This window comes from Homo sapiens, chromosome 1 (genome assembly GCF_000001405.40).
Source record: "Homo sapiens chromosome 1, GRCh38.p14 Primary Assembly".
Classification (NCBI taxonomy): Eukaryota; Metazoa; Chordata; class Mammalia; order Primates; family Hominidae; genus Homo; species Homo sapiens.
The window spans coordinates 155194680-155220235 of record NC_000001.11 but is presented as its reverse complement, the minus strand read 5'-3'; the positions used below and the strand labels follow the sequence as shown (position 1 = coordinate 155220235).

Below are 25556 nucleotides of genomic sequence, written 5' to 3'. Positions count from 1 at the left end.
ACACTCAAACCTCACAACAGTTCTATGAGGTAGGAGTTATCACTCCCCTTTTATAGATGAAATAGAGGCTTAGAGTGATTGATTTACTGAAGGTCAAACAGCCAGTAAATGGTGTAGCAAGGATTCCAACCTTGCCGTCTCACTAAAACTGTACAAAAAAAGATACAAACAACAGACAAATAGTTCCCAGGCGCCTCCCAAGTTGCCAGGCACTGCATTTACCTCACTGACCCCTTTGAGGTTGTGGCATTGCCTCCATTTTCTAGGTGAGGAAATAGGCTGAGAGCTGGGGTTAGTCTGGTCATGACTGTGTGTGCCACTCCCACCAAATCTCATTTGATGTGGTTCATGAGGCAAATGGCATGGACAACTTCCTTCACATGTCCACTAAGCATATGGCCTTTTACAACACTTTCTGGTTTCTGAACTACTTTAAAACCTCACTGTCCTGTGAGGAAGGAAGAACAGTTATTACAATCTGCATCTGGAAGCCAATTGCCCTTTAGAGATATGGCTGCAATTGCCTCACTGCCTGTGTCATGTGACTCTCCGAGGCCCTTAATGAGTAAATGAGGGGTGCTGCAGGGGAGCCAAGCTGACCACTCCCCTCCCTCCAGTCCTGCCACCCCACTGCCAGTGTCCCACCCTCCTTGCGCCCTACACTTCACTGGCTAATAACCCCCCTCACTTTTTCCTGTGTTGAAGGCATCCTGGATAATTCCCCACCCACGAATGGTCCCTCCTCATCTCAGAGAGCTCTCCATGCACACCTGTTACTGTTTCTGTTTTTACCTGTAAATATCTGTGTCTGACTTCCATGCTTCATGCACCTCTATAGGGCAAAGACTGTGTCTTAAACATCACGGTAGCCTCAGCATGTTGTGCAATGAAGGTTTTTTTGTTTTTGTTCTTTGTTTTTTTTTTGGTATTAGCTTTATTTGTATCATTTTGAAATTTTTATCAAAAAAGCAGCGTGCCTGCTGTGGTTCCCATCCTCTGGGATTTAGGAATCTTTACCCGATTCTCCATCCAAGTCTGTCTTTCGTATTCTAGGCTCTTCCTAAAGTTGTCATTCACATATACCCTCCAGAATTTTATAGGGTGTATAATCTGTAACAACTCGGAGGAAGCCAATTGCCCTTTAGAAATATGGCTGCAATTGCCTCACTTCCTGTGTCATGTGACTCTCCTAGTCATCACATGACCCATCCACATTGGGAAGCCAGAATTACTTGCAGGAGTAACCTAGTGCCTATAGCTATGGCAGGTACCTGCATCCTTGTTTTTGTTTAGTGGATCCTCTATCCTTCAGAGACTCTGGAACCCCTGTGCTCTTCTCCTCATCTAGTGACCCTGAGGTGATGGAGTTTTCAAGTCCTTCCAGAGAGGTAAGAGAGAGAGCTCCCAATCAGCATTGTCACAGTGCTTCTGGAATCCTGGCACTGGAATTTAATGAATGACAGACTCTCTTTGAATCCAGGGCCATCATGGCTCTTTGAGCAAGGCACAGATGGAGGGAGGGGTCGAAGTTGAAATGGGTGGGAAGAGTGGTGGGGAGCATCCTGATTTGGGGTGGGCAGAGAGTTGTCATCAGAAGGGTTGCAGGGAGAGCTGCACCCAGGTGTCTGTGGGCCTTGTCCTAATGAATGTGGGAGACCAGGCCATGGGCACCCAAAGGCAGCTAAGCCCTGCCCGGGAGAGTAGTTGAGGGGTGGAGAGGGACTTGCTTTTCAGTCATTCCTCATTCTGTCCTCAGGAATGTCCCAAGCCTTCGGGTAGGGTAAGCATCATGGCTGGCAGCCTCACAGGATTGCTTCTACTTCAGGCAGTGTCGTGGGCATCAGATGAGTGAGTCAAGGCAGTGGGGAGGTAGCACAGAGCCTCCCTTCTGCCTCATAGTCCTTTGGTAGCCTTCCAGTAAGCTGGTGGTAGACTTTTAGTAGGTGCTCAATAAATCCTTTTGAGTGACTGAGACCAACTTTGGGGTGAGGATTTTTGAAACCGTCTTCAGTCTCTCCAAACAGCTGTGTCCGTTCTCCACATCCTTGTCAGACCTCACCTCTGCTTGTGCTCCCTCCCTCCCAGGTGGTGCCCCTGCATCCCTAAAAGCTTCAGTACAGCTCGGTGGTCTGTGTCTGCAATGCCACATACTGTGACTCTTGACCCCCCGACCTTTCCTGCCCTAGGTGCCTTCAGCCGCTACAAGAGCAGAAGCAGTGGGCATTGGATGGAGCTGAGTACAGGACCATACAGGCTAATTGCACCGGCACAGGTAACCATTACACCCTTCACCCCCCGGGCCAGGCTGGGTCCTCCTAGAGGTAAACGGTGTCAGTGATCACCATGGAGTTTCTCCCCTGGGCACTGATAACCCTGTGGATGTCCTCAGGCCTGCTACTGATCCTGCAGCCAGAAGTTCCAGAAAGTGAAGGGATTTGGAGGGGCCGTGACAGATGCAGGTGCCCTCAACATCCTTGCCCTGTCACCCCCTGCCCAGAATTTGCTACTTAAATGGTACTTCTCTGAAGAAGATGAGGAGGAAGGGGACAGGATGACATAGAGCCACTGACACTTTTCTTTGCCAATTCTTTGGACCCTGACTTCTGCCCATCCCTGACATTTGGTTCCTGTCTTAATGCCAGTGAAATAAGATTTCGCCGCCTATCATCTGCTAACTGCTACGGACTCAGGCTCAGAAAGGCCTGCGCTTCACCCAGGTGCCAGCCTCCACAGGTTCCAACCCAGGAGCCCAAGTTCCTTTTGGCCCTGACTCAGACACTATTAGGACTGGCAAGTGATAAGCAGAGTCCCATACTCTCCTATTGACTCGGACTACCATATCTTGATCATCCTTTTCTGTAGGAATCGGATATAACATCATCTGGGTACCCATGGCCAGCTGTGACTTCTCCATCCGCACCTACACCTATGCAGACACCCCTGATGATTTCCAGTTGCACAACTTCAGCCTCCCAGAGGAAGATACCAAGCTCAAGGTAGGCATTCTAGCTTTTTCAGGCCCTGAGGGCCCTGATGTCTGGGGGTTGAGAAACTGTAGGGTAGGTCTGCTTGTACAGACATTTTGTCCCCTGCTGTTTTGTCCTGGGGGTGGGAGGGTGGGGGCTAATGGCTGAACCGGATGCACTGGTTGGGCTAGTATGTGTTCCAACTCTGGGTGCTTCTCTCTTCACTACCTTTGTCTCTAGATACCCCTGATTCACCGAGCCCTGCAGTTGGCCCAGCGTCCCGTTTCACTCCTTGCCAGCCCCTGGACATCACCCACTCGGCTCAAGACCAGGGGAGCGGGGAATGGGAAGGGGCCACTCAAGGGACAGCCCAGAGACATCTACCACCAGACCTGGGCCAGATACATTGTGAAGTAAGGGATCAGCAAGGATGTGGGATCAGGACTGGCCTCCCCTTTGGCCATGCTGATCTGTGTCCCAACCCTCAACCTGGTTCCACTTCCAGATCTGCCTGTCCTCAGCTCACCTTTCTACCTTCTGGGCCTTTCAAACTTGGATCTGTCAGTCTTGCCCACTCCATCAGGCTTCCTGTTCTCTCGGTCTGGCCCACTTTCTTGGCTGGATCATTCATGACCTTTCTCTTGCCAGGTTCCTGGATGCCTATGCTGAGCACAAGTTACAGTTCTGGGCAGTGACAGCTGAAAATGAGCCTTCTGCTGGGCTGTTGAGTGGATACCCCTTCCAGTGCCTGGGCTTCACCCCTGAACATCAGCGAGACTTCATTGCCCGTGACCTAGGTCCTACCCTTGCCAACGGTACTCACCACAATGTCCGCCTACTCATGCTGGATGACCAACGCTTGCTGCTGCCCCACTGGGCAAAGGTGGTAAGGCCTGGACCTCCATGGTGCTCCAGTGACCTTCAAATCCAGCATCCAAATGATTGGCTCCCAAACTTAGAGGGATTTTTCTACCCAACTATGGATCCTAGAGCACCATTCCCCGGGACCTCCAGGGTGCCATGGATCCCACAGTTGGGACTTGAAACCTCTCTAGGCTGGGGGTGGTAGCTCATGGCTATAATTCCAGCACTTTGGGAACCCAAGGTGGGTGGATCACTTGAACCTAAGGAGTTCAAGATGAGCCTGGGAAACATGGTGAAACCCTAACTCTACAAAAAAAAAAATAGAAAAGTTAGCCGGGTGTGGTGGTGGCACGCCTATAGTCCCAAGTATTCTGGAGGCTAAGGCGGGAGGTTTAGTTGAGCCTAGAATTTCAGGCTGCAGTGAGCTATGATTGTGCCACTGTACTCCAGCCTGTGTGACAGAGGGAGACCCTGTCTCAAAAACAAAAACAAAAAATCCCTCCCAAAACCTCTGTAGTTGCATTCTTCCCACCACCTAATTCAGGATTCCTACAAGAGGAACTAGAAGTTCCAGAAGCCTGTGGGCAGGGTCCAGGGTGACTTGTTCTTCCTTTGCAGGTACTGACAGACCCAGAAGCAGCTAAGTATGTTCATGGTATTGCTGTACATTGGTACCTGGACTTTCTGGCTCCAGCCAAAGCCACCCTAAGGGAGACACACCACCTGTTCCCCAACACCATGCTCTTTGCCTCAGAGGCCTGTGTGGGTTCCAAGTTCTGGGAGCAGAGTGTGCGGCTAGGCTCCTGGGATCGAGGGATGCAGTACAGCCACAGCATCATCACAGTAAGCCACCCCAGTCTCCCTTCCTGCAAAGGAGACCTCAGACCCATTAGTAGTCTCACCAAAGACTGATAGAAGCCCTTCCTGTCCAGCTTTCCCCAGGTAGCCTGCCCTTTTGGGCAACTCTGGGGAACCATGATTCCCTGTCTTGCCTTTCCTTCACAGGTCTGCACACCTCATTGCCCCTTTTGCAACTACTGAGGCACTTGCAGCTGCCTCAGACTTCTCAGCTCCCCTTGAGATGCCTGGATCTTCACACCCCCAACTCCTTAGCTACTAAGGAATGTGCCCCTCACAGGGCTGACCTACCCACAGCTGCCTCTCCCACACGTGACCCTTACCTACACTCTCTGGGGACCCCCAGTGTTGCGCCTTTGTCTCCTTGCCTTTGTCCTTACCCTAGAACCTCCTGTACCATGTGGTCGGCTGGACCGACTGGAACCCATCATTGTAGACATCACCAAGCACACGTTTTACAAACAGCCCATGTTCTACCACCTTGGCCACTTCAGGTGAGTGGAGGGCGGGCACCCCCATTCCATACCAGGCCTATCATCTCCTACATCGGATGGCTTACATCACTCTACACCACGAGGGAGCAGGAAGGTGTTCAGGGTGGAACCTCGGAAGAGGCACACCCATCCCCTTTTGCGCCATGGAGGCAGGAAGTGACTAGGTAGCAACAGAAAACCCCAATGCCTGAGGCTGGACTGCGATGCAGAAAAGCAGGGTCAGTGCCCAGCAGCATGGCTCCAGGCCTAGAGAGCCAGGGCAGAGCCTTTGCAGGAGTTATGGGGTGGGTCCGTGGGTGGGCGACTTCTTAGATGAGGGTTTCATGGGAGGTACCCCGAGGGACTCTGACCATCTGTTCCCACATTCAGCAAGTTCATTCCTGAGGGCTCCCAGAGAGTGGGGCTGGTTGCCAGTCAGAAGAACGACCCGGACGCAGTGGCACTGATGCATCCCGATGGCTCTGCTGTTGTGGTCGTGCTAAACCGGTGAGGGCAATGGTGAGGTCTGGGAAGTGGGCTGAAGACAGCGTTGGGGGCCTTGGCAGGATCACACTCTCAGCTTCTCCTCCCTGCTCCCTAGCTCCTCTAAGGATGTGCCTCTTACCATCAAGGATCCTGCTGTGGGCTTCCTGGAGACAATCTCACCTGGCTACTCCATTCACACCTACCTGTGGCGTCGCCAGTGATGGAGCAGATACTCAAGGAGGCACTGGGCTCAGCCTGGGCATTAAAGGGACAGAGTCAGCTCACACGCTGTCTGTGACTAAAGAGGGCACAGCAGGGCCAGTGTGAGCTTACAGCGACGTAAGCCCAGGGGCAATGGTTTGGGTGACTCACTTTCCCCTCTAGGTGGTGCCAGGGGCTGGAGGCCCCTAGAAAAAGATCAGTAAGCCCCAGTGTCCCCCCAGCCCCCATGCTTATGTGAACATGCGCTGTGTGCTGCTTGCTTTGGAAACTGGGCCTGGGTCCAGGCCTAGGGTGAGCTCACTGTCCGTACAAACACAAGATCAGGGCTGAGGGTAAGGAAAAGAAGAGACTAGGAAAGCTGGGCCCAAAACTGGAGACTGTTTGTCTTTCCTGGAGATGCAGAACTGGGCCCGTGGAGCAGCAGTGTCAGCATCAGGGCGGAAGCCTTAAAGCAGCAGCGGGTGTGCCCAGGCACCCAGATGATTCCTATGGCACCAGCCAGGAAAAATGGCAGCTCTTAAAGGAGAAAATGTTTGAGCCCAGTCAGTGTGAGTGGCTTTATTCTGGGTGGCAGCACCCCGTGTCCGGCTGTACCAACAACGAGGAGGCACGGGGGCCTCTGGAATGCATGAGAGTAGAAAAACCAGTCTTGGGAGCGTGAGGACAAATCATTCCTCTTCATCCTCCTCAGCCATGCCCAGGGTCCGGGTGCCTGGGGCCCGAGCAGGCGTTGCCCGCTGGATGGAGACAATGCCGCTGAGCAAGGCGTAGCCCACCATGGCTGCCAGTCCTGCCAGCACAGATAGGATCTGGTTCCGGCGCCGGTATGGCTCCTCCTCAGTCTCTGGGCCTGCTGGTGTCTGGCGTTGCGGTGGTACCTCAGCTGAGGGTCAAGGAAGGAAGGTGTGTTAGGAGAACTAGTTCTTGGATCCCTGCCCACTCTCCCCAGGGCTGCCCCTCCCATCTGCCCCTTACCTCCATCCCAGGGGAAGTAGAGACTGAGAATGTGGGTACAATAGGCACAGAGGTTGTGCAGCCCACGCAGGTGGACCTGCAGCTTCCCACTGGGCAGCTTTGCCTGCAGCAGCAGGGCCAAGTAGCTGAAGACGAAGGCGTCCAAGGAGGCAGGGCTGGAGCAGAGAGAGAAGGGTGGGATGGAGGAGAACCACTGGGGTAGAAGGGGTAAAGATGGAGCTGGAGGAAGAGTCAGCCTTGGGAGGTGGGCTCTGGGCAGCAGGCGGCCACCAGGGAAGGACAGGACACACAGTTCTAGACCTGGTATGGGGAGAGATCCCCAGGTGGCGCCAGCCTGGCCCTGAATAGGGCTCTATCCCAGGGCTGCATAAAGGGCACATTCAGTGCCCCACAGCTCTTCAGGCCCCTCCTGTGCCTGGCTGCCCTCCCACCCTACCCTTTTGTACCTCTGAGAAGGCTCTGGCCCCCACACAGTCACACTGTCACTAGGGCCAGTTTCTATCCCAGGGACCTCCTATCCAGAGCCTGAGCCAGCCCCAGCCCCAGCCCCAGCTCCAGCTGCTCCATCTGAACCTGTATCTTCTTCCAAGCCACCCATTACCCTCTTGGAGTCAGACTCACGCATCTCCAAAGAAGAACTTTTGAGAGCCCAGGCGCTGAGAGAGCAGGGTCAGACACTCCCGAGCCTCTCGGTACAGCTGTAGGGGCGACACAGGTAGGCTTGCAGCTGTGGGAACAGTGCCACCTCCCCACCTAAGCACTCCCATTCCTGGCCAGCATCCTTGGGGCTCATCTCATACAATAGCCCCCGGTCTCAGAGCTACCTCCTTCTCCAGCTCTTCCTCGTCCTCAGGCCTGTGCTCCCCAGTCAGCAGCTGTAGCCGTTCCATGTACTGCCGCTGCATGCGGCCAGGCAGGAAGAAGTTGAGGGGAAAGGGCATAGCCTCTGCATACCACTTCCGGGTCACTTCCACGTAGTTCTTGGTGTCTATCCAAAAAGTATGTACCTGGATTGGGTGGGCAGGAAGAAACAGGTAGGTCTGAGCCAGTGCACCTGTCTGATTCAAGGTGGGCTTCTGACCCCCATGCTTTCCTGAGCCTGTGTGTGGGTCTGTGTGTTCCCGAACCCTCCCCGGCTGGCCATGGATGCTGGGAGGTCTGGGCACACTCACCAGCACCGGGAGCAACTTCTCCTCCAGGAGAGACATGAAGGCCAGGGTGTCTGCCCCTTGCCGAGCTGACAGATCATAATCAGCATTGTACTTCTGTGGAGGAAATATCCATGGCGTGGACACTAGGGAGCTGCAAGGGCACTTCACCAGGGAGGAAGGAGTCCTGTCTGGTACCCCCCTCACTGGCCTCTGAGTGCAGTGGAGGTACAGCAAGGAACTTTTCCTGCCAAGGCCCCCTTGCCTGGGCCCAGCCAGTAGCCTGTTGCTGTTGGCGAAAAGCCTGGGCCTTGGAGCCTCCTGGCCGTGAAGGTCCAGCGCCCAATGCAGGGAAGGAAGGAAGGCTCCGCCGCAAACTAGGAGCAGCTCCCAGAATTTCCATGGAAAGCTGGAACAACGCCCGCTGACGGCAACTTTCTAACAGTAACTTCCCCGACCCAGACACCACAAAGCTAGCACAACGGAGCTCAGATGCAGGCTAGGACTCGGTCCATGCCTCAGGAACCAGAGAAAGCCATCCTCACACTCCCTGGATCCAGGGAACCCACGCCCAGGGCCCCCCAGCTTGTTCCCTCAGTGCCCAGCTCTTGGCTATTTCTTTCACTTCATTCCATCGCTCAGACACCATTACCACATACACATTCCACCCATACCCCCAGGTCTCAGCCTGCCCTACCTTCCCAGGCTCCAGTCCCTGTTCCTCAGCATCCCCCTCCACATCCTGAGTAAGCTTTGTCCCCAGATAACCTCTTCAGCATGATCCTTAAATCTCCCTAAGCCTCAGTTTCTCCCCTGTGGAATGGGGGTAAGAATCTCTTTCTCTGAATGCCCCTGTGTTAGGAAATAATTTAGAATACTTTGGAAACTGGAAAAGCTCTGTTCACACCTAAGCAATCAGGGCAGTGGCCTCGGCTCTGCCAGGAACTTTGGCTTTTATCTGGATCCTCTCTTTCCAGGCCTCTCAATTAATTCCCCAGGTCCTCAACCTTTGGGAAGTTAGAAATGAGGAAGAGTGTCCTACTTCTGACACTGTTCCCTCTTGGAACCTGACCGTCAATGCTAGAAGAACCCTTGGAAAACATGCTGGCCCAGCCCTCTAGTTTTACAAATAAGGGAGTGCACAGCCCTGAGAGGTTACATGGCCTGCCCGAGATCACATAGTCAATGGCAGAGTAAAGAGCATAGCCTAGGCCTCCCCACTCCTCTAGTAATGCTCTTTCATCTTCTCCAACCTGGCTCTAAGCCTTGTCCATCCTGAGCCCCATATCTAGCCCAACCTAGTCCCTGAAAACAGGAAGTGGCCCTTAGAAATCTCTCTCCAGTCCCACCATCAGAGGCCAACTGCTGTCTTCCACTCTCCTTCAGCCTGTGCTCCTCTCCCTCCCTGCCTCACAGTGCCCTAAGTTTCATCTCTTGCCGACTGCTTTAATACATCACAGTGACATTGTGTGTGTCTCTGCCACAAGACTGTTGCTCCTTGATGCTCTGGGTCACCTGCATCTAGCATGGCATATATCTGGTGCTCAATAAATGTGTATTGTATAGAATTGACTGAACTTCTCTCACTGGCAGCCCCCTCTATCCAAGTCACCTACCTCTTTTCGAAGGTGGGTGATGATCTTGTGTGGAACTGAGATGACCTCTCCATGACTGGTCCGAAGGGCAGGCAGAGTTCCTGATATTGAGAGGGAAGTATACCAACCAGACCCTTAGCTGCCTAGTCATACATAGTTGCAACACATTCCTGCCTATTTCTTGCTTCTCCCCTTGTACACACCCTTCCTTACCCCCAAGGGATACTGGGTACCTGAAGGGCTCTGCCAGGGGTTGCTGATCTTGTGTACCTTCAGTGGAGCACCAGTAAATCTGGCATAGGTCTGCAGGGAAGGAAGCAGAAGTCAGAGAGGCAGAGCCATGTCCCCCACAGTGGTATCAAGAAGAGAAATAACATTTATTGAATACCTTATGTGCCATTCCCTATACTTAGTATCTTAGTCTCGAAAAAAAAGGGGGAGTCACTACCATTTCTATTTTACAAATGGACAACACAGGGCTCAGAGAGATTCCGGACATGTCTGTGATTACAGGACAGCCAGGAAAATCCTTTCCTCTATCTCCTCTCTTGCCATCTACCTGGTGAACATCTATCCTCAGAAGCTTTTCCTAACCAGTATCCCTCTTCTTGGAAGCACTGATAATGCCCTTCTCTTTGGCAGTATCTGTGGTCTGTTCCTACTTTAACTTATATGTGAATATTTTATTATATTTATTTGCTTACCTATCTGCCTTTCTGTAAACTCGAAGGGAGGAACCAAATTTTATTCATCTTTGCCTGGCAATGTTTAATATTTGGAAGAAATCTAATAGATCCTCTTTAAAGCAAGGAGTCAATGAATAAATGAAGCAAAGGAAGTCTGATTGCTAAGCTCTTTATACAAAGCCTGGCTGTGAGTCGTTTGGTCTAACAAACAATAGCCTCAGTAAATGCTGTTAAGTGAGGAGGAAGAGGAGAAGGGGGCTGAGGAGAAGGCAGGAATTCCAAGCTAGAGTAGGTCCCTGAGACAGTCCAGCCTAGTAAACCTCCGAATGGAGAAAAAAAATGCCCAAAGAGAAAGGATCTCCGCAAGGTCACACAGCCAGTGAATGGATGAGCAAGGACTAGAACCCATCACCTGAACTCCCAACCAGGCGTCTTTTCATTGCTGCATTAAGCCTAGAAAACTACAGCATAGGGCACTGAGGCCATATCGGCCACGTACGCTCTTTGACTGCCTCAGTTTCCCCCACTGCGCCCGTGCTGAGTAGCCCTGGCAAGGTTTGGATGCTTGGCTAGTTCGGCCCCCTCCCCAGTCATCAGGGCACAGCAGAGGGCGCCGGCGCCACCCCTCACCAGCACGGCCAGGCTGTCCAGGTCCACTGACGGCAGCCCCCAGCCCCCTGACCAGCAGAACAGCTCCATGGGCGCCGCCATCTTGCCCACCCTCTGTCCCGGAAACACTTCCTTGTGTGCTTCTGCCCTCCCCTGCCTGGGCCCGCCCCCCGCCACCGCCCCTCCGATCGTTGCGGTCAGGGGGCCTGGGGAGATCCCCGGGGAGGCGAGGCTTCTTCTGGCCCGACTGGCAGCTGAACTGCGGGGGACTGGGCCGCGGGCCTCGGGGGAGGGCGGCCGCCGGCCCATCCAGAGGTGGCCCACGTAGCGGGACAGCGCTGTCGGCCCGGCGCGCCTCGGAGAGTCACGGCGCCTCGTCCAAGTGGAGCCCCGAACCCCTGAAGGCGCGGCAGGCTCTGGAGAGCGGGGTCTTGTGCGCCTGGGCCAGGTCTGGGGGCTCTTGCCAAACTGCACGTGGCCTGTACTGCTCCAGGGCCCCTTGGGGCTCGTCCCCGAGCGGGGACTGCGGGGGGGTCCCCCGAGCAGCATGTTTTCCACAGCGCGTTATGTTTGGAGCGGGCCCTGCGCCGCCTGTCGCCATGGAAACAAAACAGGGGCGGTGGCGGCGGCCGGAGCGGAGGCCGGGCTGGGGCTTGGGTGGGGGAGGGGAAGAGAGGCTCGCAGGCTGTCGCTTAGGTGACGGGAACTCAGGCGCCCCTCTGCTTCATCCGGGTCACGGCCCGTCCGCTAGTACCCACAGTGTTCCACAGTCTGGTCCTTGGCTCCTCGCCTGTACCCCTGGTCTTCTGCGCCTGTCCCTGGTGTCCCTTTCCTCTTTTTTGGTTTCTTCACTCTGACCTCACTGACCACTGCTTTAGATTCTCCCTTCAGTTCCCGTCAGACGCTTCCAGACTCCCAAGCTTTCCTACGAATGAGGGAAAATGGAGAAACAGGCACTTGTCAGGGGACCCCCCACCCTAATAAAGAGCACTTGCTCCGCCAGAACAGCAAAATTCATGCCATGTGGGCATCCCTGGGCACTATAGCAAGCTAGTTGCGGCCACTCCCTTGGCATCCTTTCCTGCCAGCTGTGGAATAATGCCCACTGTCTAGCACTGCCCCTGCCAGGGGTTCTTGCCTTCCACAATCGTGGCTTCCAGAAAACAGTGGCATTCGGTAGCGCTGTGTGCCGAGACCCCCAACAATGATGACTGCGGAGAGGGAGGCACCTGGGGGAGGATCATTAGGGAGAGGTAGAAAGCAGGGAGGCCTCCAGGATTCTTTCCCAGTGCCCCTGGTTCCCAGAGCTGATGATGCCTCCAGGGTGATTGGCAGCTCTTTGTTTCAGCCCCCCCTCACCCGCCTGCTGGCCCCCCCTCCAATTCTGTCCCTCCGCCCCCCGGCTCCTGCTCTCTCCGCCTAGCCTTTTCCCCTCCCAGCTGCCTGCCTGCCAGGGGTAGTGAGCCGGCTGAGAGGCATGGAGACGCAGGAACTTCGGGGGGCCCTGGCTCTTCTCCTCCTTTGCTTTTTCACATCTGCCAGTCAGGATCTGCAGGGTAAGCCTGTCTCCATCCTCTTAGACCGCTCTCTGCTTCTTCCCCATTTGCCCTCAGCCCAAGTAGCAGAGAACATGTGGGCAAGGGGAGAGGGGAAGAGTCCAGAAATTGAGCCAGAGGAAAACTTAAGACTGCCTAGAGTTGGTGAAATTATGGCCTGGTGGAGAGGAGTGGGCACCGGAGAGTAGTGGGGGAGCTGGAACAGGACAGGGTCAGGCATGAGGCCAGGGCAGAGGACTCAGGAACTGGATGCTCAGGCTGCCTGGCTGGGGTGGTTCCTGAGCATCTGTAGGCACCCTAGGGTCTGGGAGAGCAGCCTGAAGGTGGGCGTACTGTAGGTCCCTGGGCTTCGTCCCCCTGGGCTCCTGGCTGCCCAAGGACAGGGCGGGGGTGGGGACCAAGAAGCCTGGGCTCTCCCGGAGGTCTGGTGGTGGGATGGGCCGATGGATGTGGGAGAGGTAGCTGGAGCAGATGACACAGGCATAGATTCTTTACTGGCTGGAGGGAAAACCACAGATTGGCCAGGACACAGGAGGCAGAGGAGCTGGGTCCTACATTCCCGTGGGAGATAGCCCAGATGGTGGGAGGGTTAGAGTCCTCAGTGGGCAGCTGTTCTTATCCAGAGCGAGTGTGCTGCGCCCCTAGGATGGGAGGAGGGGAACTAGGGTGTGGAACGAGCCAAACCCAGGAGTGGAAAGAGAAGCTGCCTTCCATTTCTACGTTGTGGACACCAGGTGCCACTCCTGTGGGGGATCAGCACAGCATCTCCTTTGCGCCACCTGGTGGGGGCATCTCAAATTTGTGGGGTGCTGTTTCTGTGTTTCCAAGTGAGTCTCAAACCTGCAGGTTCCTGGAAGGTAGTAATAGGCAATAATGGGGAAAGGAAGGCACAGTGCCTCTGTCCTCTGAGAGCAACAAGGGTTGAGGTTTTTTTTTGTTTTCGTTTTGTCTTTTTGAGATGGAGTTTCACTCTTGTTGCCCAGGCTGGAGTGCAATGGCGCGATCTCGGCTCACTGCAACCTCCACCTCTCAGGTTCAAGCGAGTCTCCTGCCTCAGCCTCCTGAGTAGCTGGGATTACAGGTGCCCGCCACCACGCCCGGCTAGGTGGTTTTTTTTTCTTTTTTGTTGTTGTTTTTGTATTTTTAGTAGACACGGGGTTTCACCGTGTTGGCCAGGCTGGTCTCGAACTCCTGACCTTAGGCGATCCACCTGCCTCAACCTCCCAAGGTGTTGGGATTACAGGTGCGAGCCACCATGCCCAGCCAAGGGTTGAATTTTGAGGTGACTAACGCTGCCTGGTGGTGGGGGTAGGGGGTGATGTGGGCTCGGGGGAGGGCATACCTTAGCATTTGATCCCATTCTCTAACCTTGATAACCCCTGCCTGACCAGTAATTGACCTGCTGACTGTGGGCGAGTCTCGGCAGATGGTAGCTGTGGCAGAGAAGATCCGGACAGCCTTGCTCACTGCTGGGGACATCTACCTCTTATCCACCTTCCGCCTGCCCCCCAAGCAGGGTGGTGTCCTCTTTGGCCTCTATTCTCGCCAAGACAACACTCGATGGCTGGAGGCCTCTGTTGTAGGCAAGATCAACAAAGGTGACTGGTGGGCATCTCCTTTCTTGCAATGGTGACCTCCTTAAGCACTCTCCCTCATCCCTACTTCCCAAGTGCTTCCTCATTCTCCTTGGCCTCCACTAGGGACCAAGGTCCCATCAGGCTGTGCCCAGACATCAGGGGCACCTGGTATGGGGTGCTTATAAGGTGCTTTAGGAGCCCATGTACCAAACAATAGGGTGAGGCTTGAGTCCTGATATTTATAGGGATGGGAGGTTGTACTTGGGGATGCCTGGAAGGAGGGTGAGGCATGTCTCTGTGCCTCAGCGGTGATACAGAAAGGTCTTTCAGATCCCTGGAACAGGTCAGTGGCCACAAAACCAGCTGTCACCCTAGGAGAGGATACAGTCATCTGATACCAATGAAGACTAAGAAAGTATTTGTCTCTAAACCAATTATTTTTTTAAATGGAGTCTTGCTTTGTCACCTAGGCTGGAGTGCAGTGGTACAATCTCAGCTCACTGCAACCTCTGCCTCCTGGGTTCAAGCAATTCTCCTATCTCAGCCTCCTGAGTAGCTGGGACTACAGGTGCCCACCACCATGCCTGGCTAACTTTTGTATTTTTAGTAGAAACAGGGTTTCGCCATGTTGACCAGGCTGTTCTCGAACTTCTGACCTCAAGTGATCTGCCCACCTTGGCCTTCTAAAGTGCTGGGATTACAGGTGTGAGCCACCGTGCCTGGCCTCTAAAGCAATTTCAAAAACATTTATTGTGTACCTATTAAATACAAGGTGTTGAGAGCCACATAGTAGAATTAGGGATAGGGGCCCTAGAGATGTGGTATCTAGCAGAGTTGATCCAAGGCTCAGCTGGGAGGCAGGGGGTGGGGGATAGCGCCCATACTGATCTCCCCTCCTGGGCAGTACTGGTGCGATACCAGCGGGAGGATGGCAAAGTCCACGCCGTGAACCTACAGCAAGCGGGCCTGGCTGATGGGCGCACACACACAGTTCTCCTGCGACTCCGAGGTCCCTCCAGACCCAGCCCTGCCCTACATCTCTACGTGGACTGCAAACTGGGTGACCAACATGCAGGCCTTCCAGCACTGGCCCCCATTCCTCCAGCGGAGGTCGATGGGCTGGAGATTAGGACTGGACAGAAGGCGTATTTGAGGATGCAGGTGAGCCGGGAGGAGCCTCTGAGTTCTGTGGAAATAGAGTTTGCACCAGCTGGGGAAGGGGTTGGTAGACCTTCCCACCTTACTCTGCTGCTATCCCCCCAGGGCTTTGTGGAATCTATGAAAATTATTCTGGGTGGGTCCATGGCCCGGGTAGGAGCCCTGAGTGAGTGTCCATTCCAAGGGGACGAGTCCATCCACAGTGCAGGTAACACAGAGACTTGTTTGCTGACATTGGACCACGGATCCTGTGGCCTTTGGTGACTCCTGTCTTCTTGATCTCCCTCTCCCTTAAAACCCATTCCTTTGGCTCACCTGTTCCTAGGGTTTCTAACCCTGTTATTCCAAATCTTTCACCTGACTCCACAATCTCCAATACACCCATCCGAGAAAAAAAGTGATCTAAGAGAAGAATTGGTTAATTGCTTGGCCTTGGCTGACCAAGAGATACTGGTCTCGAGTATTTTTTTTTTTTTTGGTGATGGAGTCTTGTCCTGTTGCCCAGGCCGGAGTGCAGTGGTGCAATCTGGGTCACTGCAGTCTCCACTGAGTTCAAGTGATTCTCCTGCCTCAGCCTCCCAAGCAGCTGGGATTACAGGCGCCCTCCACCATGCCTAGCTAATTTTTGCATTTTTAGTAGAGATGGGATTTCACCACGTTGGCCAGGCTGGTCTCAAACACCTAATCTCAAGTGATGCACCCACCTCGGCCTCTCAAAGTGCTGGGATTACAGGCGTAAGCCACCGCGCCCGGCCTGGTCTCGAGTCTTTTATAGTTCTCACTGGCAGCTGTCACCAGCAATTTCTCTGAGTGTTGCCCATCTGCCTGGTCTCTCTGACAGGGATGTTCAGAAGCTCTCACCTAAATAAAAGACCCACCTTTCCCAGATATTTGAGGGAGAGCTCTTGAAGAAGGGAATGGGATGGCGGGTGTGGTGGCTCACACCTGTAATCCCAGCACTTTGGGAGGCTGAGGTGGGCTGATCCCTCAAGGTCCGGAGTTCAAGACCAGCCTGGCCAACACTGTGAAACCTCCTCTCTACTAAAAAATACAAAAAATTAGCTGGGCATGGTGGTGGGCACCTGTAGTCCCAGCTACTTGGGAGGCGGAGGCAGGAGAGTTGCTTGAACCCAGGAGGTGGAGGTTGTGGTGAGCAGAGATCACGCCACTGCATTCCAGCCTGGGAAACAGAGCAAGACTCCGACTCAAAAAAAAAAAAAATGGGGATATACTGGGGCCCTGGCCCTGCTTTGGGTCCATCCCTTCTGCCACTACCATGCCTAGGAACCAGGAGGATTTGGGTTCTAACTTCCTGTGAAGCAACTCCCTTAGAGGGCCTTTTGCCCCATAGAAGGAGCTGGCACTGCTTGTCTGCCAGCTCTGCCCTCCCAGCATCCAGCACCCCATCTTTATTCTGGGGCTCCAGCCCTGTCCCTGTCCTCACCTTCCTTCCTCCTTCTCACCAACCAGGCCTCTCTTCACTTCACCTCACCCCTCTGACTATGTTTTCTTCTCCTCTCCAGTGACCAATGCACTGCACTCCATTCTAGGTGAGTAGGCCACACTGAAGCGGAAGCGGGGAGCGGGGAGGAGGCCCCAGGCTCTGGCAGCTGCCTGAAACTAAGTCCTCTTCAGTCAGGAATGTAGTAGGTTTAAAGGCAGGGGTGGGCAGCCGTGGCAGGTACTGGCTTATTGCCCATGGAGGGCCCAGGACTGGTGCTCCAGTACTGAACCCCTCACACCCTGGGTCCCGACAGGGGAGCAGACCAAGGCGCTGGTCACCCAACTCACCCTCTTCAACCAGATCCTGGTGGAGCTGCGGGATGATATACGAGACCAGGTTTGGGTGGGCTGGCGAAGGGTGGCACTGATTCTGGGGTAGGGTGGCAGATGTCAAGTGCTGACTCCTCCCCATCCTTCTCCAGGTGAAGGAAATGTCCCTGATCCGAAACACCATTATGGAGTGTCAGGTGTGCGGTGAGTGGGAGAGCAGGGGAGGCTCCACATGACCGTGCCACGTTCCCCACCCAATGGCTTTGGCTTTCCCTTCTGGTGGCTTAAATAGTGACCACCGGGTAGCTCTGACTGTGTCCACCCCTCAGGCTTCCATGAGCAGCGTTCCCACTGCAGCCCCAATCCCTGCTTCCGAGGTGTGGACTGCATGGAAGTGTACGAGTACCCAGGCTACCGCTGTGGGCCCTGCCCCCCTGGCCTGCAGGGCAACGGCACCCACTGCAGTGACATCAATGAGGTGAGGGAGGTCAGAGCCCAGAAGGGTACAGAAAACTGGGGTGAGGATGTCAGGAGGCACCCAAGAGGGTGGGATAAATGCTGGTCCGGAGGAGAGGAATCTGGAGTTTAGGAGAGGTCAGAGGCAAGAGAAATGCAAGATGGGAGAGACAGAAGGCCTGGGGCAAAGACTGAAGGCCATACAGGGAAGGAGCTGGGGAAACTGCAGGGGAGGCTTGAGATGGTGACCAGTGGCATGGGGAGGGAGAGAGGGAACCCCGAGGGAAGTGGGGTGGGGACCAGGAGCACAAGGCAGTTGTGTGGGGAGAGCTGCACAAAGGGGAGACCTGGAGCAATGGTTCCTGGATCACAGGCAGGGACCTGAGTTTCCCAGAGGGCGGCCTGACCTCTGCCTTCTCATCTGGTCCCCAGTGTGCTCACGCTGACCCCTGTTTCCCGGGCTCCAGCTGCATCAACACCATGCCCGGCTTCCACTGTGAGGCCTGTCCTCGAGGGTACAAGGGCACACAGGTGTCTGGTGTGGGCATTGACTATGCCCGGGCCAGCAAACAGGTCAGACTGGGTAGTGTGTGTGGACAAGGGATCTTGGCCTTGTAGAGGCCAGGGGCTTCTGGGTTGGACATGGGACCCTTGTGATGAATGGGACATGGATGGCTTTGCATCGGCTTTGGGTCTGGGCTTAATGTTGATGTTCACAGATAAGGCCATACCAGTGTCCTCTGCTGTATCTGAGGAGACCCACCATAGGTCTGGTTCCACCCAAAGTCTGCCCCTTCAGGTCTGCAATGACATCGATGAATGCAACGATGGCAACAATGGTGGCTGTGACCCAAACTCCATCTGCACCAACACTGTGGTGAGCTGAATATCCTGAGTGTATTCTGGGGTGGTGGGAATGGTAAAACCCCAACCCCCGCCCCTTCTTACCTTCAAATTTCCTGCTGCCTTTCCTCCTCCCCAGGGCACTACACAGATTAGGTGTTCACATGGACTTGGTTTGGAATACTGGTTTGCCTCTTGCTAGCTCTTTAGCAGGTTATTTAACTTTTCTGAGCCTCAGCTTCCTCATCTGAAAACTGAGGCTGTTATCCACCCTGAAAGGTTGTCATGATAACCTAAAGGAGATACTGATATGCCTGGCATAACTGAGTGCCCAGCCCACACTCCGCAGGTGGAGCAGTGCTGGTCCTGGGTGCCTGGTGGGCTCACCCTCCTTCCTAAGATGCTGCCTCTCCACTCTTAGGGCTCTTTCAAGTGTGGTCCCTGCCGCCTGGGTTTCCTGGGCAACCAGAGCCAGGGCTGCCTCCCAGCCCGGACCTGCCACAGCCCAGCCCACAGCCCCTGCCACATCCATGCTCACTGTCTCTTTGAACGCAATGGTGCAGTGTCCTGCCAGGTGAGCTAGGCTTCAGGCGTGGAAGGAAAAGGGAGGGTCTGGGGAAAGGAGTAGGGCTATGTTTAGGGCCTGGGTTGGGGGTCTTCATAGGAGAGAGGTGGGCCTGGGCCCAGGAACTGTTTGGTGGGGAGAATAGGACCTGAAGCAGGGAAAATATAGGGAGGAGGGGAGCCAGACCAAACTGCTAGCTCCTACCCTTTGTGTTGCCCTAGTGTAACGTGGGCTGGGCTGGGAATGGGAACGTGTGTGGGACTGACACAGACATCGATGGCTACCCAGACCAAGCACTGCCCTGCATGGACAACAACAAACACTGCAAACAGGTGCAGGGAGCAGGCGGGCAAGGGGGCGTAGTGGGGAGCCCAAGCTGGGTCAGGCCAGAACTCATCCATCCTCTTCCCCTGAACTTTAGGACAACTGCCTTTTGACACCCAACTCTGGGCAGGAAGATGCTGATAATGATGGTGTGGGGGACCAGTGTGATGATGATGCTGATGGGGATGGGATCAAGAATGTTGAGGTGACTCCCAGACTGCCCTGCCCCTTGAAGCTCCTCTCCCCTCCTCCTGTCCTCTCTGTGCCTCACTTACCTCATCTGGCAGCTCTCTAGTAAGGGCCAAATACTCCAAATCAGGGAGGCAAAAACCTCGTGCCCAGGACAAGGAGGCTGGGTGGGTGGGACTGTACTGAGCAGTTTGTCCATCACAAGGGTGTGATCTTAGAAAAGGATACAGAGACAAGGTAGGTGCAAGATGACAAGTGATTTAGGGGAGACCTGACCCTTCCCCTCCCACCCCTCTGCCCAGGACAACTGCCGGCTGTTCCCCAACAAAGACCAGCAGAACTCAGATACAGATTCATTTGGTGATGCCTGTGACAATTGCCCCAACGTTCCCAACAATGACCAGAAGGACACAGATGGCAATGGGGAAGGAGATGCCTGTGACAACGACGTGGATGGGGATGGTGCAGGCCTGGGGCTGAAGGGGTGGCTGGGGGACCTGTGAGAATTTGGATCAGGTGGGGATGAAGCAGGGAAGCTAGGAAGTCTCTGTGAAATAGGGAGGCAGGCTTGTGGACGTTGGCCTGGGTGAGGAGAGATTACCTGCAGCAGATGTCAATAGGAATGTGAGGTAGGGCGTAGTGTTAGGCAGAGTGTGGACTAGAGGGTGAGACAAGAAACAGGCAGATTTCCTGGCCAGTTGTCCTCTGGGTGGGGAGACAAAGTTCGGGACTTTCACCAACCTAGAAGAGAGAATATGGCATGTTCTAGTAACAACCTTGTGCTACCCATGTCTTCTAGGCATCCCCAATGGATTGGACAATTGCCCTAAAGTCCCCAACCCACTACAGACAGACAGGGATGAGGACGGGGTGGGAGATGCTTGCGACAGCTGCCCTGAAATGAGCAATCCTACCCAGGTACAGGGAGATGGTAAGGACAGGGGAGGGATGAGGGTACTGATGGATGAAGCCCCAGCCCTTTGGATGGAAAGTGGTCAGATCACCCTCTTCAGAGTTATCAAGAGGAGATGGTGAGAACAGGTCCCTCTCTCTCAGACAGATGCAGACAGCGACCTGGTGGGGGATGTCTGTGATACTAATGAAGACAGGTAAGGTCTTGGTCAAGAGACGCAAGGTCTTTCTTTTTTTTGTCTTTCTGAGACGGAGTCTTGCTCTGTCACCTAGGCTGGAGTACAGTGGCACGATCTTGGCTCACTGCAACCTCCGTCTCCCAGGGTCAAGTGATTCTCATGCCTCAACCTCCCTGAGTGGCTAGGATTACAGGCATGTGCTACCAAGCCCAGCTAATTCTTGTATTTTCAGTAGAGACAGGGTTTCACCATGTTGGCCAGGCTGGTCTCGAACTCCTTACCTCAGGTGATCCGCCAGCCTCTGCCTCCCAAAGTGCTGTGATTACAGGTGTGAGCCACTGTGCCAGCGAAATGCAAGGTCTTATAGGGGATATTTTACTTTCCTCTAGTATATCCTTTTTTTTTTTTTTTTGAGACGGAGTCTTGCTCTGTCGCCCAGGCTGGAGTACAGTGGCATGATCTCGGCTCACTGCAAGCTCCACCTCCCGAGTTCACGCCATTCTTCTGCCTCAGCCTCCCAAGTAGCTGGGACTACAGGCGCCTGCCACCACGCCCGGCTAATTTTTTGTGTTTTTAGTAGAGACGGGGTTTCACTGTGTTAACCAGGATGGTCTCGATCTCCTGATCTCGTGATTTGCCTGCCTCAGCCTCCCAAAGTGCTGGGATTACAGGCGTGAGCCACCGTGCCCGGCCTCCTTTTTTTTTTTGAGATGGAGTCTTGCTCTGTCACTCAAGCTGGAGTGCAGTGATATCGGCTCACTGCGACCTCCACCTCCAGGGTTCAAGCGATTTTCCTGCCTCAGCCTCCCGAGTAGCTGGGATTACAGGCGCGTGCTACCAAGCTCAGCTAATTTTTGTGTTTTTAGTAGAGACAGGGTTTCATCGTGTTGGCCAGGCTGGTCTCGAACTCCTGACCTCAGGTGATCTGCCCGCCTTGGCCTCCCAAAGTACTGGGAATACAGGCATGAGCCACTGTGCCCAGGCCATAGTATATTCTAAATTCCTTCTATGATTTAGCCTTAATTCTCTATTGCTATTCAGCAGGAATTTATTCTTACAGTCATCCCTCCATTCCTACTGCCAGACCTTCACCTCACCTGGCTGACTGCCAGGGGTCTGATTGTATGGAGAGCAGGCTCCAGAGACTCCCAGGCAGAAGCGAAGGGAAGGACAAGGAGTACCTTTAAATCCTTTATTTGGTACCTGTTCTTCTGATTAGCGATGGGGATGGGCATCAGGACACCAAGGACAACTGCCCACAGCTGCCAAATAGCTCCCAGCTGGACTCTGATAACGATGGACTTGGAGATGAGTGTGATGGGGATGATGACAATGATGGCATCCCAGATTATGTGCCTCCTGGTCCCGATAACTGCCGCCTGGTACCCAATCCCAATCAGAAGGACTCAGATGGTAAGCCTGCGGACCCAGAGCACGTTAGACTGGTGTTGCCTTTGCCCAGGTGGAGGCAGCAAGCCCTGTTGGGAAGTGAGGAAGGGCAAGGTGGGGAAAGATGTCAGGAATGCAGGCCCAACAGATGGTATTGTTGCCTAATGGCAGTGGCCAGGGCCTTCCTGAGCACCCAGCCTCACTCTGCCCAGGCAATGGCGTTGGTGATGTGTGTGAGGATGACTTTGACAATGATGCTGTGGTCGACCCCCTGGATGTGTGTCCTGAAAGTGCAGAGGTAACGCTTACGGATTTTCGGGCCTATCAGACCGTCGTCCTGGATCCTGAGGGTGATGCTCAGATTGACCCAAACTGGGTTGTGCTCAACCAGGTAACTCGGGGCAGTGGGCTGGGCAGGTGCTATCAGACAGGGCTACTGGGACGGGGGGCCTGGGAGGGATAGCACACCTGCATCACAGCTTTTTCTTTACTATACAACCCCAGGGCATGGAAATCGTTCAGACCATGAACAGTGACCCTGGCTTGGCAGTTGGTATGTAAGGGATATGCAGTTCAATCACTTCCAAATGGAGGAATCCTATAGGGGCAGAGGGTAGGGGAGGAAACAGACAGGGAGAATGGGCAAAGTGGCGAGAGAGAAGGCAGTGGCACAAGCTGGCCACATACATAGCAGGCATCCCTTCCCAACTTTACCCCATGATGGGCCGCCAGTAGCTTTGCTGCCCCTGACCTTTATCCCACCCCCACCCCAGGATACACGGCCTTCAATGGTGTGGACTTTGAAGGCACCTTCCATGTGAACACAGTGACTGATGATGACTACGCAGGCTTTCTCTTCAGTTATCAAGACAGTGGCCGCTTCTACGTAGTCATGTGGAAGCAGACCGAGCAGACCTACTGGCAGGCTACACCCTTCCGGGCGGTTGCCCAGCCCGGGCTGCAGCTCAAGGTCCCCAGCTGCTCAGATTCCGCAACCCAGGGCCCTTTCCCAAAGCTCTCCTCTGCAGCCCCAGGGCCTCCCCCACTGCTTGACTGGGAACCCTCTTACCCAGACATCTGGCTTGGAGGCCGGCTCTCTGGGGCCCCAGGGCATTTTCATGACCGCCTTGAATCCCTTTCCCACCTGCACTTACCGACCTGTTGTCTCCCCTCACTCCAGTTCTGCAGTTGACCCACTGTCTTTGCCAATGTCTCCTAGGCAGTGACATCAGTGTCTGGCCCAGGTGAGCACCTCCGAAATGCCCTGTGGCATACTGGCCACACCCCTGATCAGGTACGACTGCTGTGGACAGACCCACGAAATGTGGGCTGGCGGGACAAGACCTCCTATCGCTGGCAGCTTCTGCACCGGCCTCAAGTTGGCTACATTCGGTAAGGAGAGGGGCTGAGCCCACCTGTGGGACTCAGGCCGGGCCTGTCCTTCCTCTTTAGCTGGGATTCACCAGTGACCTCTCCATGGGTGGGAACTGCAGCCACTTCTCTCCATCACCCTTCTCACCACGGACACAAGCACCTATGAGTGATGTTGGTGAAGTCACTCCTCCATGACCCATTTTCCCGTCTGTAAAATGAGGGCATTGGGTTAGATGCCCTTTACAGTTCTCCAGAAGCCTCCAAACCCAGGCCAATCTGTGAAGGGGCACATCACATCTGGTCCCTTAGTTGGTATGACCTGGAACCTGTCTTATCAACGTGGATAGGGATCATCTGACCTGGAAGGCATCATCATTTACAGAAGAGAAAATCAAGGCCCTGACTTCACAGGCCTCGGTTCAACACTTTGTCCACAACTTTGCATTTCTCTCCAACAAGTAGCCCTAGTTGGTGGAGATGAACAGGAAGGGAGGGGAAATGGGTCTGCTTAGAGGCTGGACTTTCCATGGCCAAGAGCCCAGAGTCCAGGAACCTGGGTTGGTTCCCCTTTAAGGTGCCTGGGGCTGTGGGGTGCCAGGACAGGGGATAAAAGGGGGTGGACTAGAGCCTGGGAAGCGGGTGACTTCACCCCCCAGCCCATTGTGCTTATTGTCATGGCAACCCAATCCTCGCTTGGAATGCGGCTGGTGCTTTGAGATGCAAAAGGAGCTGGACAAAGAGCTAGGGGCCCCAGGCCTGAGAAAAGCACCCCCCTTCCCTCTCCTTCCTGCCTCCCTTTCCCTCCCTCCCTTCTCTCTCAGGCCTGGTGAGCTCAAGGGGGGCTGGGGAAAAGCAAGGCCCCAGGCATGGTGGCACAGTGCCCACTGGCACCCTAGCACCAATGGATACTCCTATCCTGGAATCCTGGACAGGGTGAAGCTCTATGAGGGACCCCAGCTTGTGGCGGATTCTGGGGTGATCATTGACACATCCATGCGAGGGGGGCGTCTTGGTGTATTCTGCTTCTCCCAAGAAAACATAATTTGGTCCAATCTCCAGTATCGATGCAATGGTGAGGTGGCTGATTGAGATCAACCTAATCCTTCATGCCTTGTGGGAGAGCCACATCCTCTGACCTTACTTATTTCCCCTTCTTCAGACACAGTGCCTGAGGACTTTGAGCCATTCCGGAGGCAGCTGCTCCAGGGAAGGGTGTGAGGAGGAGGCCACCAGATTCAGAATTCAGAATTTTAGACCCTTTGGCCTTGGGGTCCATCCTGGAGACCCTGAGGTCTAAGCTACAGCCCCTCAGCCAACCACAGACCCTTCTCTGGCTCCCAAAAGGAGTTCAGTCCCAGAGGGGTGGTCACCCCACCCTTCAGGGGATGAGAAGTTTTCAAGGGGTATTACTCAGGCACTAACCCCAGGAAAGATGACAGCACATTGCCATAAAGTTTTGGTTGTTTTCTAAGCCAGTGCAACTGCTTATTTTAGGGATTTTCCGGGATAGGGTGGGGAAGTGGAAGGAATCGGCGAGTAGAAGAGAAAGCCTGGGAGGGTGGAAGTTAGGGATCTAGGGGAAGTTTGGCTGATTTGGGGATGCGGGTGGGGGAGGTGCTGGATGGAGTTAAGTGAAGGATAGGGTGCCTGAGGGAGGATGCCCGAAGTCCTCCCAGACCCACTTACTCACGGTGGCAGCGGCGACACTCCAGTCTATCAAAGATCCGCCGGGATGGAGAGCCAGGAGGGCGGGGGCTGCCCCGCTAGGGGTAGCGGGGAGGCCGGGGGGCCGGGGGGGCCGGAGGCCGGGACGAGTGCAATATTGGCGGGGGAAAAAACAACACTGCACCGCGTCCCGTCCCTCCCGCCCGCCCGGGGCCCGGGATCCCGCTCCCCACCGCCTGAAGCCGGCCCGACCCGGGAACCCGGGGCGCGCTGGGGAGTTGGGTTCACCTTGGAGGCCAGAGAGACTTGGCGCCCGGAAGGCAAAGGGAATGGCAAGGGGGAGGGGGGAGGGAGAACGGGAGTTTGCGGAGTCCCAGAAGGCCGCTTTCCGACGCCCGGGCGTTGCGCGCGCTTGCTCTTTAAGTACTCAGACTGCGCGGCGCGGAGCCGTCGCCATGGTGACGCGTGTCCCAGCAACCGAACTGAATGGCTGTTGCTTGGCAATGCCGGGAGTTGAGGTTTGGGGCCGCCCACCTAGCTACTCGTGTTTTCTCCGGCCTGCGAGTTGGGGGGCTCCCCGCCTCCCCGGCCCGCGCTCCCGGGCGCGCTGACGTCAGATGTCCCCACCCCGCCCAGCGCCTGCCCCAGGGTCTCGCCGCACACAAAGCTGCGCCTCGGGCGCCGCGCGGCGCGCGGGCGAGAGCTGTGGTCTCT

The 25556-nt window shown here is 54.8% G+C and overlaps 2 protein-coding genes, 1 long non-coding RNA gene, 1 other non-coding gene and 1 pseudogene across 43 annotated transcripts in view, besides 11 other annotated features; 2 read left to right on the top strand and 3 right to left on the bottom strand.

Annotated features, from left to right (window-relative positions):
* The window catches only part of GBA1LP (glucosylceramidase beta 1 like, pseudogene), a 13710-nt pseudogene extending 7299 nt beyond the window's left edge, over positions 1–6411 (top strand). The window contains 12 exon segments of the transcript NR_002188.3: positions 1294–1388; positions 1757–1848; positions 2187–2272; positions 2643–2717; positions 2863–2996; positions 3207–3379; positions 3615–3852; positions 4449–4474; positions 4585–4673; positions 5074–5182; positions 5552–5668; positions 5763–6411. The product of NR_002188.3 is annotated as a glucosylceramidase beta 1 like, pseudogene (transcript).
* Positions 2071–2088: a non allelic homologous recombination region, noted in NCBI's record as "sub-region a', recombines with sub-region a within the GBA recombination region". NCBI's record gives the evidence for it as "EXISTENCE:nucleotide sequencing assay evidence [ECO:0000219][PMID:11112377]".
* Positions 2071–7224: a biological region, named in NCBI's record as "GBAP1 recombination region". NCBI's record gives its function as "recombination_partner: LOC106627981".
* Positions 2328–2353: a non allelic homologous recombination region, noted in NCBI's record as "sub-region b', recombines with sub-region b within the GBA recombination region". NCBI's record gives the evidence for it as "EXISTENCE:nucleotide sequencing assay evidence [ECO:0000219][PMID:12587096]".
* Positions 2658–2758: a non allelic homologous recombination region, noted in NCBI's record as "sub-region c', recombines with sub-region c within the GBA recombination region". NCBI's record gives the evidence for it as "EXISTENCE:nucleotide sequencing assay evidence [ECO:0000219][PMID:12587096]".
* Positions 3571–3586: a non allelic homologous recombination region, noted in NCBI's record as "sub-region d', recombines with sub-region d within the GBA recombination region". NCBI's record gives the evidence for it as "EXISTENCE:nucleotide sequencing assay evidence [ECO:0000219][PMID:11042032]".
* Positions 4773–7224: a non allelic homologous recombination region, noted in NCBI's record as "sub-region e', recombines with sub-region e within the GBA recombination region". NCBI's record gives the evidence for it as "EXISTENCE:nucleotide sequencing assay evidence [ECO:0000219][PMID:12587096]".
* On the bottom strand, positions 6397–11541 carry MTX1 (metaxin 1). 2 transcript variants are annotated; one of them, NM_002455.5, is made up of 8 exons: positions 10904–11541; positions 9821–9890; positions 9609–9688; positions 8017–8109; positions 7669–7851; positions 7466–7542; positions 6845–6999; positions 6413–6752 (listed from the first exon to the last, which is right to left on the bottom strand). In NM_002455.5, exons 1-8 carry the CDS (start codon positions 11429–11431, stop codon positions 6538–6540), a joined length of 1401 nt encoding a protein of 466 aa, NP_002446.3. In that variant the 5' UTR covers positions 11432–11541; the 3' UTR covers positions 6413–6537. The 2 variants fall into 2 exon arrangements, with proteins under 2 accessions (NP_942584.2, NP_002446.3); NM_198883.3 differs by lacking the exon at positions 8017–8109 and having other exon boundaries at positions 6397–6752; positions 10904–11537.
* Positions 10992–11191: a silencer, noted in NCBI's record as "silent region_1398". NCBI's record gives its function as "represses an Ori minimal core promoter by ATAC-STARR-seq in GM12878 lymphoblastoid cells {active_cell/tissue: GM12878}" and the evidence as "EXISTENCE:reporter gene assay evidence [ECO:0000049][PMID:35858748]".
* On the top strand, positions 11058–24648 carry THBS3 (thrombospondin 3). Of its 34 annotated transcripts, NM_001407557.1 has the most exons (24): positions 11058–11330; positions 13422–13519; positions 13830–14036; positions 14920–15176; positions 15279–15381; positions 16697–16723; positions 16931–17013; positions 17099–17150; positions 17276–17424; positions 17835–17975; positions 18202–18279; positions 18667–18819; positions 19032–19142; positions 19232–19339; positions 19626–19785; positions 20123–20241; positions 20380–20432; positions 21634–21827; positions 22016–22194; positions 22308–22356; positions 22577–22773; positions 23023–23195; positions 24110–24249; positions 24337–24648. In NM_001407557.1, exons 3-24 carry the CDS (start codon positions 13865–13867, stop codon positions 24393–24395), a joined length of 2757 nt encoding a protein of 918 aa, NP_001394486.1. In that variant the 5' UTR covers positions 11058–11330; positions 13422–13519; positions 13830–13864; the 3' UTR covers positions 24396–24648. The 34 variants fall into 34 exon arrangements, 30 of the variants coding, with proteins under 30 accessions (NP_001394486.1, NP_001394485.1, XP_011508233.1 ...); NM_001407556.1 differs by lacking the exon at positions 13422–13519; XM_011509931.2 differs by lacking the exon at positions 13422–13519 and having other exon boundaries at positions 20123–20254; positions 20384–20432.
* Positions 12555–13338: an enhancer, noted in NCBI's record as "H3K4me1 hESC enhancer chr1:155176689-155177472 (GRCh37/hg19 assembly coordinates)". NCBI's record gives its function as "activates a minimal SCP1, AML or CMV promoter by ChIP-STARR-seq in primed H9 embryonic stem cells {active_cell/tissue: H9 hESC(primed)}" and the evidence as "EXISTENCE:reporter gene assay evidence [ECO:0000049][PMID:30033119]".
* THBS3-AS1 (THBS3 antisense RNA 1) lies at positions 14747–25239 on the bottom strand. 5 transcript variants are annotated; one of them, NR_183237.1, is made up of 7 exons: positions 24864–25239; positions 23219–23385; positions 21618–21833; positions 19925–20064; positions 19410–19536; positions 16965–17113; positions 14747–15201 (listed from the first exon to the last, which is right to left on the bottom strand). It is a non-coding gene; the product is annotated as a THBS3 antisense RNA 1 (long non-coding RNA). The 5 variants fall into 5 exon arrangements; NR_183236.1 differs by having other exon boundaries at positions 24868–25239; NR_183238.1 differs by lacking the exon at positions 16965–17113 and having other exon boundaries at positions 21618–21892.
* Positions 22399–23234: an enhancer, noted in NCBI's record as "H3K27ac-H3K4me1 hESC enhancer chr1:155166793-155167628 (GRCh37/hg19 assembly coordinates)". NCBI's record gives its function as "activates a minimal SCP1, AML or CMV promoter by ChIP-STARR-seq in primed H9 embryonic stem cells {active_cell/tissue: H9 hESC(primed)}" and the evidence as "EXISTENCE:reporter gene assay evidence [ECO:0000049][PMID:30033119]".
* Positions 23235–24070: an enhancer, noted in NCBI's record as "H3K27ac-H3K4me1 hESC enhancer chr1:155165957-155166792 (GRCh37/hg19 assembly coordinates)". NCBI's record gives its function as "activates a minimal SCP1, AML or CMV promoter by ChIP-STARR-seq in primed H9 embryonic stem cells {active_cell/tissue: H9 hESC(primed)}" and the evidence as "EXISTENCE:reporter gene assay evidence [ECO:0000049][PMID:30033119]".
* Positions 24964–25059, bottom strand: MIR92B (microRNA 92b). The gene has a single exon (NR_030281.1). It is a non-coding gene; the product is annotated as a microRNA 92b (primary transcript).
* Positions 25227–25556: a silencer, noted in NCBI's record as "silent region_1397". NCBI's record gives its function as "represses an Ori minimal core promoter by ATAC-STARR-seq in GM12878 lymphoblastoid cells {active_cell/tissue: GM12878}" and the evidence as "EXISTENCE:reporter gene assay evidence [ECO:0000049][PMID:35858748]".